The 12,400-nt window shown below is 44.9% G+C and overlaps 1 protein-coding gene and 1 long non-coding RNA gene across 4 annotated transcripts in view; one reads left to right on the forward strand and one right to left on the reverse strand.

Moving 5' to 3' along the window:
• Positions 1-12,400, reverse strand: part of ANO2 (anoctamin 2) — a 383,578-nt gene that overhangs the window by 311,279 nt on the left and 59,899 nt on the right. The gene's annotated exons all lie outside the window — the stretch shown is intronic.
• The window catches only part of LOC105369621 (uncharacterized), a 30,421-nt gene continuing 25,977 nt past the window's right edge, over positions 7,957-12,400 (forward strand). The window contains exon 1 of the long non-coding RNA XR_931583.3: positions 7,957-8,047. This is a non-coding gene — a long non-coding RNA (uncharacterized LOC105369621). The remainder of the gene's footprint in view (positions 8,048-12,400) is intronic.

Genomic DNA, 12,400 nt, shown 5'->3' on the forward strand with positions numbered 1-12,400 from the left:
CCCAACCCAACCAAGAGACGCGCAGAGAAGCCCAGACCTCCCATCTGCATACTTGGGCAGACCAGGATAGAGGCCTCAATGCTCAGTGCTTTTACACACATCTGTGGAGTCCTCAGTATGAACAAGGAGGAACTCAAAGAGCTGGACCAGACACAGACTTTGCCCTCAAACAGCTTTTAGACTGGGGAATCATAAAAGAGGCTAGGAAAAAAGACCAGGAGGCTGACAGCTACAGAAAATTTACAAAAGAGAGGCTGTGAGGGATGGAGCTTGAGCTTCCCAGCTCTTTCTCCTAAAGAGCTAGGCCACAAGGTAAGAGTCCCAGGGCTCAGTTCACAACCAGGGAAGAGCACCCTGGCTTAGGTCAGGACAGGACTGAGACCTAATCTGCCCAATTCACTAGCTGAGTGAGCTTGGGGAAGTCACGTCCCTTCCTCTCCCTTCTCTTGCCCTATGCAGGCAAGAGCTTGGATTAGAGGAACCCTGAGGGCCTTCCCAACTCCAGAGCTGCAGGCTTCTTTGGTGCTTCATATTCAATCACTTTTATCACCTCAACAGGGCCTCAAATCCATACAAGCCTCTCTGTTGTCACAGCCTCTTGCTCCTTGCTTGACTCTGTCCCCACTCTGCCTTTCTGTGCAGCTGCGAGCGTGCACCTCTGGGCTCTCAGCTCTCTCCAAGCACCCCGTGCCTCATGCGACTTGCTGTGCCTTCTGGCATCCGCTTCCCAATCAGAAACCTCACACATGTCTGCAAAGCTCCCCCCAGCCAGATCCTCCAGCTCATCTTCCTCTGAACTGTGTTAGTTGTACATATGGAAATCCAGAGAGCCTCCAAGGATTAGAGTCCACGTCTTTTTTTATTTGGAACTCTTACCTGCCGACCCATCATCAAGGACAGGACTCAGCACACTTTTTCTGTAAAGTGCAGGCCACGTGGTTTCTGTCACAGCTACTCAACTCTGATGTTGAGTCACAAAAGAAGTCATAAACAATATATAAGTGAATAAGTGTAGGTGAATTCTGGTAAAATTTTATTTACAAAAGTAGGTGGGAAGCTGGATTTGGCTTGCAGGCCACAGTTTGCTAACTCCTGCTCTAGGACAGGCTTTACTGATAGACATATCTGCACCTGGCCCCTCTCTCATCACTGAAATTGTTTACATGTCTGTCTGCTATACTGGACTTCCTGAAGGCCAGCTCTGTGTCTTTTACCTGTTGAACCCCAGTGTCTGATACTGTGCCTTATATATAATAGGTGTCCAATAAATGCTTGTCCTCTTAATGCCCTGATCTGATAGTACCTGTTTCACGTCTCACAACCTAAGGAGATCATCACTAGGACAGACCATGAGATACTAAGAAGCACAGCAAGAAGATCCACCCACACAAGTTTGGATGATACCTGCCAGAGATTGCAGGGGAACGCAAGCTGGCCTGCTGGCCTCAGCACTGCTCTTAAAGGGTACTCCTTCCTGCTACATCAAAAGGCACATGAACTGATCAAAAGTTTGGACCAGACACTCCAGCTCCTGGATCCATTCCTCCATCTCCTCCCACACTAACCATCCCCGACTGATGGCCCTCCAAGGACTGGGATCAACCAAAGAAGGCAGCCATCTGTGGGAGCTTCCAGGCTCTTTAACCTTGAACCTGTAGCAGATGCCTAATAACTACCACTAACGCATTCATCATGCTGCACCGGTGACGGTCACCATCAAACACATCAGGCCGCTTGGCTCTCTCAGTATTCTTGTGATTAAGTGCAATGATCTCCAGTATACACAAGAGCAGACTGAGCTCAGAGAGGCTATGAATTGTTCAAAATCACTGCAGTGAGCAGCACAACGTGGCCACTAGAAAAAGATGATAAGTCCTAGGCTACATCTAGAATGACGGAGAGGAACAGCCCCTCTATGACTGGTTCATTTCAAGAGGTCAGGAAAATCAGAGCTCATTCAGAGAAGAGAGATGAGAAAGCTAAAGAACTCAAGCCCATAGCCAATGAAAAACGAATGAAGGAACTTGAGGTATTTTACCGGGTAGAGAGAAGGCCAGGGCAAAGATGTGAGAGAAGAAGGATGGTATCTGGCTTCAAACTGCCACTGCAGACTTAGTCGCTGTGGTGCCAAGGGGCAGGGCCAGCCCAGCTGAGGAGGAAGGAAGCATCCCCCTCAGTCTGCTATTCTGGCCATGGCCCAAATACCCATTGAAATTAAGTCCTAGAATATGATGGGGTTCTTAGAGCATTATTTTAATTACTTCACCTGCCTTTTTGGAATAAGACAGTATTTCTCCACATCTTCTTATAAGACCGTATTTCTCCACATCTGTCTTATTCCAAAAAGGCAGATGAAGTAATTAAAATAGTGCTCTTAGAACCGCATCATATTCTAGGACATAATTCCAACAGATGTGGAGAAATATGAATGCTTTTACACTGTTGGTGGGAGTGTAAATTAGTTCAACCATTGTGGAAGACAGTGTGGCAATTCCTCAAGGATCTAGAACCAGAAACATCATTTGACGCAGCAATCCTATTACTGGGTATAAACGCAAAGGATTACAAACCATTCTACTATAAAGACACATGTACTTTTATGTTTATTGCAGCACTATTCACAATAGCAAAGATTTGGATCCAACCCAAATGCCCATCAATGATAGACTGGATAAAGAAATTGTGGCACATATACACCATGGAACACTATGCAGCCATAAAAAAGATGAGTTAATATCGTTTGCAGAGACATGGATGAAGCTGGAAACATCATTCTTAGCCAACTAACACAGGAACAGAAAACTAAACACTGCATGTTCTCACTCATAAGTGGGAGCTGAACAACGAGAACACATAGACACAGGGAGGGGAACATCACACTCTGGGACCTGTCAGGGGTAGGGGGTTAGGGGAGGGATAGCATTAGGAGAAATACCTAATGTAGATGACGGGTTGATAGGTGCAGCAAACCACCATGGCACATGTATACCTATGTAACGAATCTGCAGATTCTGCACATGTATCCCAGAACTTAAAGTATAATTTTTAAAAAAGACAGTAAATAAACATTCTTTCATCAATTCCCACTTTAAAGTAAAGAGCAAATGGTTATTGAAGTGGGTTGAGTAGCGCCCTTACCCTGAAAAATTCATGTCCATGCAGAACCTCATAATGTGACCTTATTTATGGAAGAGGTTTTGCAGATAGAATTTGTTTAGATGAGGTCATAGTGGATTAAGGTGGCCCTAAACCTAATGACTGAGGTCCTTATAAGTAGAGGAAAGGATACACAGAGACACACAGAGAGAAGAAGGCAATGTAAAGATGGAGGCAGAGATTGGAGTGAAGGACTGCCAGTAGCCATAGGAAGCGAGGAGACGGCCATGTGACGATTCTCCCTCAGAGCCTCCAGGAGGAACCCACCCTGCTGGCACTTTCATTTTGGACTTCTGGATTTTGATTGTTTTAAGCCAAGAAATTTGAGGTAGTTGTTCTGGGAGTCTTAAGAGAGTTAGCAACTTAGAAATATGATTGGGTTGAGCATTTCATGAAGAGGCAGTGTGATATGGTGGCTAGAAGAACATAACATGAGGGGCCCAGGCTGGGCTCACATCCCCAGCCAACCATTACCAATTATGTGATCTTGGGCAAGCTATTTAACTTTCCTCTGCCTCAGTTTCCCCTGCTACAAAATAATAAAAGTATCTAGCTCATAAGATGTTTGTTTAAAGCAGTGGTCCCCAACCTTTTTGGCACCAGGGACTAGTTTCTTGGAAGACCATTTTTGCATGGACCTGGGGTGGGGGGATCAGGATGAAACTGTTCCGCCTCAGATCTTCAGGCATTAGTTAAATTCTCATAAGGAACGCACAACCTAGATTCCTAGCATGTGCATTTCACAATAAGGTTCACCCTCCTATGAGAATCGAATGCCGCCGCTGATCTGACAGGAGGTGGAGCTCAGGCAGTAATGTGAGTGATGGGGAGTGGCTGTAAATACAGATGAAGCTTCACTTGTTCACATGCAGCTCACCTCCACTACCGGCCCACGGCCGGGGGGTTGGAGACCCCTGGTTTAAAGCATTAATACCTATGCAGCACTAAGAGTCATGTCTGTTATCAGGGAATGTACCACTATAAATTTCAGCTATTGCAGTAAGCCAAGGCACACAAAGTTCTGGTTTTCCATTTTACTACAATCACTACTATGAATGGGAATAATAATTATGACTCTCTGTCTATTAAATGTGAGGCACTGTACAAACCAGATTGTGCGTGATGTATTTTATCTCCAATTCTTACGATAATGCTGTAAGGGAAGTAGAATAATCTTCATTTTATAGATGAAGAAACTGAGGCTCAGAGAGGTTGACTCATCTGGTGAGGATCACACATTAAGGAGTGGTGGAATCGAGATTCATGCTCAGGTCTATAGCACTTAAGTGCTTTTCCATAATACCACGCTGCCCCCTTGGGCGGGCACCAGTTCTGTCCCCCACTGTGTTACCAGCCCTGGCACAATGCCTGGGTCATAACAAGTATGTCCAAAACACTTGATAAATTCATTGATTCACTAATTATAAGATAGATGCATGCCCCTGACATTGGCATTATTGATTTTTCTCTTAAGCTGGATTCAAATAACATAGACAAACATAGACAACATAGACAAACACAGACAAATAACATAGACAAACAAATAACATAGTACCCAATACCAATAAAGCTAGAGATCATCGATCCCTCAATGAGCCAACAGATTACTGGGAACATCACATTCCCACACTGATTTACACAGCATTTTATGTGGCCATACAAACTTGCTGGAAACAGGATCTGTTGTGACTTAGAGATGCCAGGAAAGGCAGCACTGAGATGTGAGACTCCCTGAAGAAACACACTGTCCAGTAGTACCTTCACTGAGGGTGTGGTTTTCCATAGGAGATGGAGCAGGGAACAAACGCATACCTTATAACATTTTATCCTCAAGCAGATTGCTAATCATGTCCTGCTCAGGCTTAACATTTGGTTTGAAGAAAGAAAGAGAAATTGACCATCAGGAACACTAAAAGTGGGACAGTTGGTGCGTCTACAAGTGTGGAAGGCCTGCGAGAACATGACAGTGTTCTTCATCCTTCTCCACTTAAAACATGGCTTGACACTGAAGCTGTCTGCATTTCCTGCTCCCCAGGTATAAGGATGGGGAAAAGGGAAAGGAAGCAGAAGCAGGGTCAGAGCTAAGGAGCCACGTGAAGCTGATTCCACATAAACAATTTTTTCTTCAAATCATCAATAATCAGCAGATGAAGCCGCAGGCAGGTAAATAAGAAGGGACTGTACTCAAGCCCAAGAAACAAAGCCAATTTCAGAAGCCCTTCAGTTTCTTGGTGAACTTCTGACATGATAAGATAAAAGGAAAAGTCTAAATAAACAAGTTATTATAGCTCAGATACAGATCAGAAGAGGAAAAATAATCTTAGGGAACGGTATAGTCATAAGCACGTGCTAAGTAAGCTCTCTCTCTCGATACAAGACCTGTGTGAAGCACTAGGGTTACCAGGACAAAAGACACTATTCTCATTGTCAAGAAGCTCAATATCTAGGAGGGAAACAGACATGAAAACAAATTATTACAATATTTGCAGGGTGCAATACAAGTGGGGAAGAGGAAACCTAAGGGGTCAAAGAAGACTTCATAGAAGAGACAATGCTTGAGCTAAGACCAACATATTAAGAGAAGAAAGAGCATTTCAGATGGAGAGAGGAGCAGGGGCAGGGGCTGAAGGCAAGAAGCAGCATGACAAGTGGTTTGGTTTGACTCCAGCCTAGGGTGTGCATTTGGGGTCAAGTAAAAGCAAAGAGGTAGCCAAGAGACTAATTGTGAAAGCCTGGGACAACATGCTTAAGAAGTGTGAACTCGTTCTGAGGTGCTTAGAAGCCATTGAAAGATTTTAATGAGGAAATGGCTTAATCAGATTTGCATTTGGAAAGATCACTCTGATAGAGCATGAAGATGGTTTGGAGGGGCAAATCTAGAAAGAAGTTCAATCACACAAGGGTAGATAGTGAGTGCTGGAATTAGATTGTGGCAATGGGGAAGGTAAGGTAGAAACAGATACGGGAAATGGAATTGACATGACCTGGTGTCCACCAGAACACGAGAGGAGAGAGAATCTAAGGAGGCTTCCAGATTCTGTTGTAGTTGACAGGGAGAATGGTTAAGACAACCAGCAAGACAAGGAATAAAGAAGTCGCAGGTTTTACAGAGAAGATACTGAGTTTTTTTATGAAGACCTTAAACTTGAGATGTTTCCAAAACATAAATCCAGGCATTTATGTTCAGGAGACAGACATAAGAGCCTGGGGAACGCAGGATAAGTGCAGGTTAAAGAAGAGCATTTGAGAGTCATCGTAGGTAGTTAGATAGTAACTTAGGCCACATAAATGTATGAAATTGCCCAGAAAAGTGTGTGTAAGAAGAGCAAAGGAAAGGAAAAAGGAGAGAAAAACATCTGAAGACAGAACTCTGAGAACACTGATACTTCAATGACAGATAAGGAAGAAAGAACACATGAAAGAGAATAAGAGGAAGCCCATAGAGGCAGAGGAGATTCAGGAAAGAATCATGGGCTCCTGGACACCCAAGGGAGGGAAAATGTCAAGCAGGAGGAAGGAGTCAACTGTTTCAAATGCAATAGAAAAATCAAGTCAAGCAAGGATTGAATGGATCTTCTCAATTAATAGAAATACCAAAATAAATTAAATAATAAGGAGCAGATTAGGAGTGTTCCTAGAATTTAGTAGATATTTGATAAATGATGGGTGAATGGATGAAAGGACAGATGGATGAAGAGATGGATAGGTGGATGGATGAATAGATGGGTGGGTGGATGGATGGATAGATGGGTGGGTGGGTGGGTGGATAGATGGATGAGTGGATGGGTGGATGAGTGGATGGGTAGGTGGGGGATGGATGGATGGATGGATGAGTGGATTGAGGGGTGGAATGGGTGGGTGGATGGATGGAAGCGCAACTATATTGGCTACCCCAAAATGAATCTACTATCCTCATGATGGACTGGATTTATGATGATTCTTTCCAGAACCAGAGCAATGGACAAAGATGACCTCAGAGCATCCCTTCCAGAATAAGTTGTCTAGTATTCTACGTATGTCTACAGAAAAAAAGAAATGTGCAGTCTACAGAAAAGCAAGAAAACACTTTATAACTATTCTATTGAGAGGGGCCTTCCAAAGGTCACTCCATCTATCCCCCTCTCTGTGGCAGAATGTCAAGAGCAATTTTTAACACACACCATCTAATCTAAAGAAACCCACATATGCATGCATCCAAATCAGACTTTCCAGAAGAAAGGGAGGAGTACATGTGCATCTACCCTACCACCTCTTGCCTTCTGGCTGGGGGAATGGAAAAACTCATCATCAGTATAGCTGCTGCCCCTGGAGCCAAGGGCACAGCCACAGAGCCAAGTCTCTGTGAAATGCATCAGATCAAACTCAATGATCAATAATAAAATCAACAGCCTTCTCAAAGCCAAAGGGGTTGAAATTCAGAAGGGGCAATATTGTAATTTCTCCTGGGGCTATACAGCATGCTCATTTTTGAGATTTACAGCCTTTAACCAATCCTCTGGATGCAAGGCATCATGCTAAGAAGTCAAGGTTTTTGACTAGGTGAGAGACCAGGTTCAGGTGAGTCACAATACAACAATTAAAGGGGTTTATGGACCCCCAGCCCCCCATCACTCCCTCCAGCTCCAACAGGAGAAATATAAACCCCTTATGAGGGCTAACCAATCAAACCATAAAATCCAATAGCCATACAGTTCAGCTGGAAGAATGTTCCTTTGTTAAACAAACAATGTGTCTGGAACACTTTTTGGTCCATTGTTCCATTCCAGGACAGAGACTGAAGCTATAGAAATAAATTAGTGATTTCAATCATGCTCATCCTGGACTGATCCTACTGGCACATGGAAACTTCCTGGCTGGGGCTGAAGAAGAGAATTAACTCTTTCAGGCAAAGGTTAGAGATGAGTGGGTGGGTGGCTAGAGAAGGCAAAGAAAGAGAATTCAAATGTAAATAACTATGGCAAGATAAAGGCAGGGCTGAATGACACTGAAAACAGACAAGTATTTTTTTTCTTCAAGAGTCATTAAGAACAGCAAGGAAAGGAACAGTCAAAAGCATTTCTAGGTTCACACTGAGATTTTATCTGACCTTCATCAACTCAGTCACTGAAGTCTAAAGACCTATCCTACAGTCTAAAGAAATAATGCCTCCCTCTAACTCAAGCTCCCATCAGGGCCCCAGGTACACTAGAAGGAGGTGGATATAAAAAACACTGGGTTTGTGGTCTTCATGCTGCAAATGAGAAACAGTTTGGAGTTATTTTCCAGAATGAGACTTTCTTCCTCTTGAGAAGTTTCTATGCTGCTCTATCTTCTCTACTTGAGGAAGAGAATTTTGAGAGGCATGGACTTTAATGGTACCTTCAAACAGAAAGGCTGGGACCTGCTCTTCCCCTCCCACAGGCATAGAGTAGGGACAGAGCCAGCTTCAGGTCCTGGCCTGCTGGCTAGACAGAGGACATTCATAGCTTGGTCAGACATCAGAGGGACAACTGGCCAAAGGACTGGGGTCATGTGATGGGTCTTCTTTTCCAAGCTTTGGAGGAAACGTCAAAGGTGGGAGAGGCATCAGCTGGGGTGGTCTGAAAGAGCAATTAGGAGGGAGCAAAAGGAATGGAGAACAGGACACAGCCAAGTCGCCCACATCCCCAAACAGAGCTGCCTTTGTTTTCCTGATGCAAAGGACACAGCAGCAGACTAAAGCCCCAGGAAAAAAGGCAGAGATCTTGATCAAACTGGGGCCAGAGGGCATTGCATAGACCACTTGGGGGTCCTCAGAGCCACAAAGGGGAGATATGCTGGACAGGAGGGCAGAGGAAGAAACAGAGGGGAAATTATGAGGATGAGGTTAAGAACTGAATGGGGAGATATGAGAGCAAAGACGGCTGCTGCATGAGCAGAGATGCTTCCTGTGGCTTCCCTGCCAGGGTTCCAAGTGAGCCTGAGCTCCTTATCAGTAGGGAGCATTCACCACCCACCACGTGCCCCATTGGAAACCCCCACCCCCAGCACCATTAACACACACAGCCCGTGTCAGCCTAAAATCTCATGAGTGGCTCCATTTTCCCTTTCCGGGCTTCCCGTCACTCCCCGCCTAGCATGCTGAAAACTGAGCAATTAAATATCTGAGGCCCAAGTGCAGAGCATACACCCCCTCCATTAGAACTCAGGTTCACCTGAGGTAGAGGACACATGTCCCCCAGGGTTTGGACCACCTACTCTACTGCTGAGCCAGACCTAGAGATGCCTTCTCATAAATACACAACCACTCTGTAGAAACACTCATGGAAATGTCATTTAGCTGTTTAATATGCATCCTGAGTAAACTTCTCTTGCTCAGTCATTTATGCCACTGATTGGAAATAGCACAAATCCTAGGGTGGTCTGTGCATGTGTGCGTGTTTGACATTAGGGTGGTGTGTGTGTGTGTGTGTGTGTGTGTGTGTGTGTGTGTGTGGTGTCTGCCCAGCTGCCAGGGTCTCTGGACGTTCTGCATGACTTTCTTCAAGCTTTGAGAGGTGGCCCCCATGGAGAAGCAGGGTGTGGAGGGGCTCTAGGCCGGGAGCCCAGGTCTTCACTTCAAGTCCCTGCTCCTCTACCACCAGGAACTGGGGCTTGGCAAGACACTTTGCCTTCTTAGACCTCGATTTCCCCATCTATGAAATGAGGACTTTGCTGAGATGACTGATCTCATAGGTCATTTCTAGCTCTGACATTTTCTGGATTTCTTAAATCCACTTTAAATAGCACCATGTAATTAGAATTAATTGTTATAATTGCTAACATTGATTGATTGAGCCATGTGTGGCAGGAATTTCTCTAAGCCTTTTCTGTGCATTATCTAACTTAAACCTAATCCCAGCATTGTCAGGTATATATTAAAATTCCTGTTTTACAGATTGAAAAAACCAAGTCACAGAAAAGTTAAAAATGTGGCCCAAGGTCACACAGGTAATGAATAACAGAGTTGGGAAACCTATAGAGGGACAGTCTTCCTCCAGACCCTGCACACTTAACTATGACATTATATGGCCCCATTATAAAGGGAAGAACATTTGGAATCTGGGCCTCTCACCAGTCAAGGTGCAAGGCAATACCAGATAACAGCCACTGTGGGCAGTGATTCTAGCTGCCACCACCAGGACATTGCAAAATTCATGAGAAGAGGATGAAATTACTAGCCTCCATTCAAAGGACAAGGGCAGCTTCAGTTTCAGAGGTGTCATCCTTCTTCCTCTGTCCACCTGGCCAGCCTCAGATGTGGGCTGATATGAATGCCAAGCCCATAATTTAAAGTCTGTCCTTTCGTCCCCTTCCCCCATGGCCCTATCACTGCTATACCTGCAAATCACTCCTGAGGAAAAGCAATCACTGCATCATGGCAAGGTGGCCTGAAGGCAGGATTTGATAGGGCCCCATGGCCATCTTTGTACTGACCCAGGACAGCCGGCACTTTCTGCACCATTCCAGAGGTGGTGAGCAGGCAACAGTAACTGAAACACCAGGAAGCCCTTCCTGGTGCCCAGGCAAAGGTGCCAGCCTGCCTTGGGAAGATGGTTCCACCTTGCCTGAGAGTGTGCATTGGAAGGAAACAACAACCATTGAGATCCTTTTGTTCAACTCATGACCTAGGACAATATGCTGGACCTGCAGATTGCTCTAGACCATCTGAACAGAAAATGGACCAAACAAAAGTAAAAGGAAGCCAGCAGGCAAACCCACTCTCCTCCCACAGCATGATGAAGAAGGGCAAACACAGCCCCCAGCCAGGACTTCTAATGGAGAGCAGAGGGGACCCTAAAGCAAGAACACCCCCTGCCCACCCACCACCATCAGAACCATGTACAGAAATCTGGTTCTGATTTGCTGCAGCCATCCACTGCCTGATTCTACCAGAAAGCACTACAACATTCTTACTCCACTATTTCATCTCCCTGTGGTCCAGCCTTCCCTGGCCTCATGTCAGATTAATATTCCTATTCCGTGGAAGCCGAACAAAATTTCCTTTGGTGGAGTTGACCTCTCCAATTGGCCCTGGCTGCCTGGAAGCTATGAAGCCAGTGGCAGCCACCACCCCGTCCCCACTCCTGGGGTCTGGAAGTATAAACACACTGGGTGGCCCCTGACTCATATAGAAAGTTATTAGGAAGGAGTGAGGCTTTACAAGGTGTCAGAGCTTTCACCAAGCTTTCAAGTTGGGTGAGCTGATCTCAAAGTTTTGCAGAGAAAAGAGCAACTGAATCAAAATTGCACTAAAGATTCAGCCCAGGCTATGTCTGAGGTTCATGCTTACTGTCCAGTGACCAAAGCTGGCCAAAGAAAGGTGGCTGCAAGAATAAAACCAGATGATAACAATAATAACTCACTTTAAATGCGCAGATTACCATATATTAGGCACTGTACTAAGGGCTTCTAATGCACTATATCACAAATCATCTCAATAAACTCAACAAGTAGACACTATTCTTTTTCCCACTTTAAAGATGAAAAAAGAGTGAACCTAAGAAAGGTTTTCCCAGAGTGGCAGAGTCAAGATTTGAATCCAGGCAGTCCAAATCCAGAGTTCAAGCCCTTAACCACTGTGCAACGTTACTAGCTAGCCCCGAGTTCTTTGAAATGCCCCTCAACACCTTGCAATCCTTAATGAGCCATGATGGGGATATTGAGGACTGTCCATGGCTAATTAAGATTCCTGAGCTAGTATATTTCTGCCTCCTTCTGGAAGACAGACCCTGACCATGAATCAACACCTACTCAAGAAAGGGGTCCTTAGTCCATTAAGGCTGACTCCACTCAAAGCCAACACAAACTTTATCTCATCTGTCTTCCTGGAGATCTGCACCACTGCTCTTCTCCATGGGCATAGGAAACCAGTGCTAACTGCACACCCTACTGCCAATGATGCCCAGGAGGTGTCCGGAGTAGGCCAAAAGGAATCCGAATAGAGTCCTGGCCTGGGACTCCGGAACTGTGTTTTAGGAGGAAAGACCCTGAACAGACCCTTCCCAGCCCATAAATCTAAGCTTCCCAGACCATCCTAAGCAAGTTTAAAAGCAGAGAGGAAAAGTAGAGATTTGAACAGATATGTGTACACCCATGTTTAAAGCAGCATGGTTCACAATAGCCAAGGCAAATGGAAGCAAGCGTCTGTAAATGAACGAATGGATAAACAAAATGTGGTATATACACACAATGGAATACTATTCAGCCTTAAAAAGGAAGGAAATCCTGCCATTTGTGACATCGA

This window comes from Homo sapiens, chromosome 12 (genome assembly GCF_000001405.40).
Source record: "Homo sapiens chromosome 12, GRCh38.p14 Primary Assembly".
In the NCBI taxonomy this organism is placed as follows: Eukaryota; Metazoa; Chordata; class Mammalia; order Primates; family Hominidae; genus Homo; species Homo sapiens.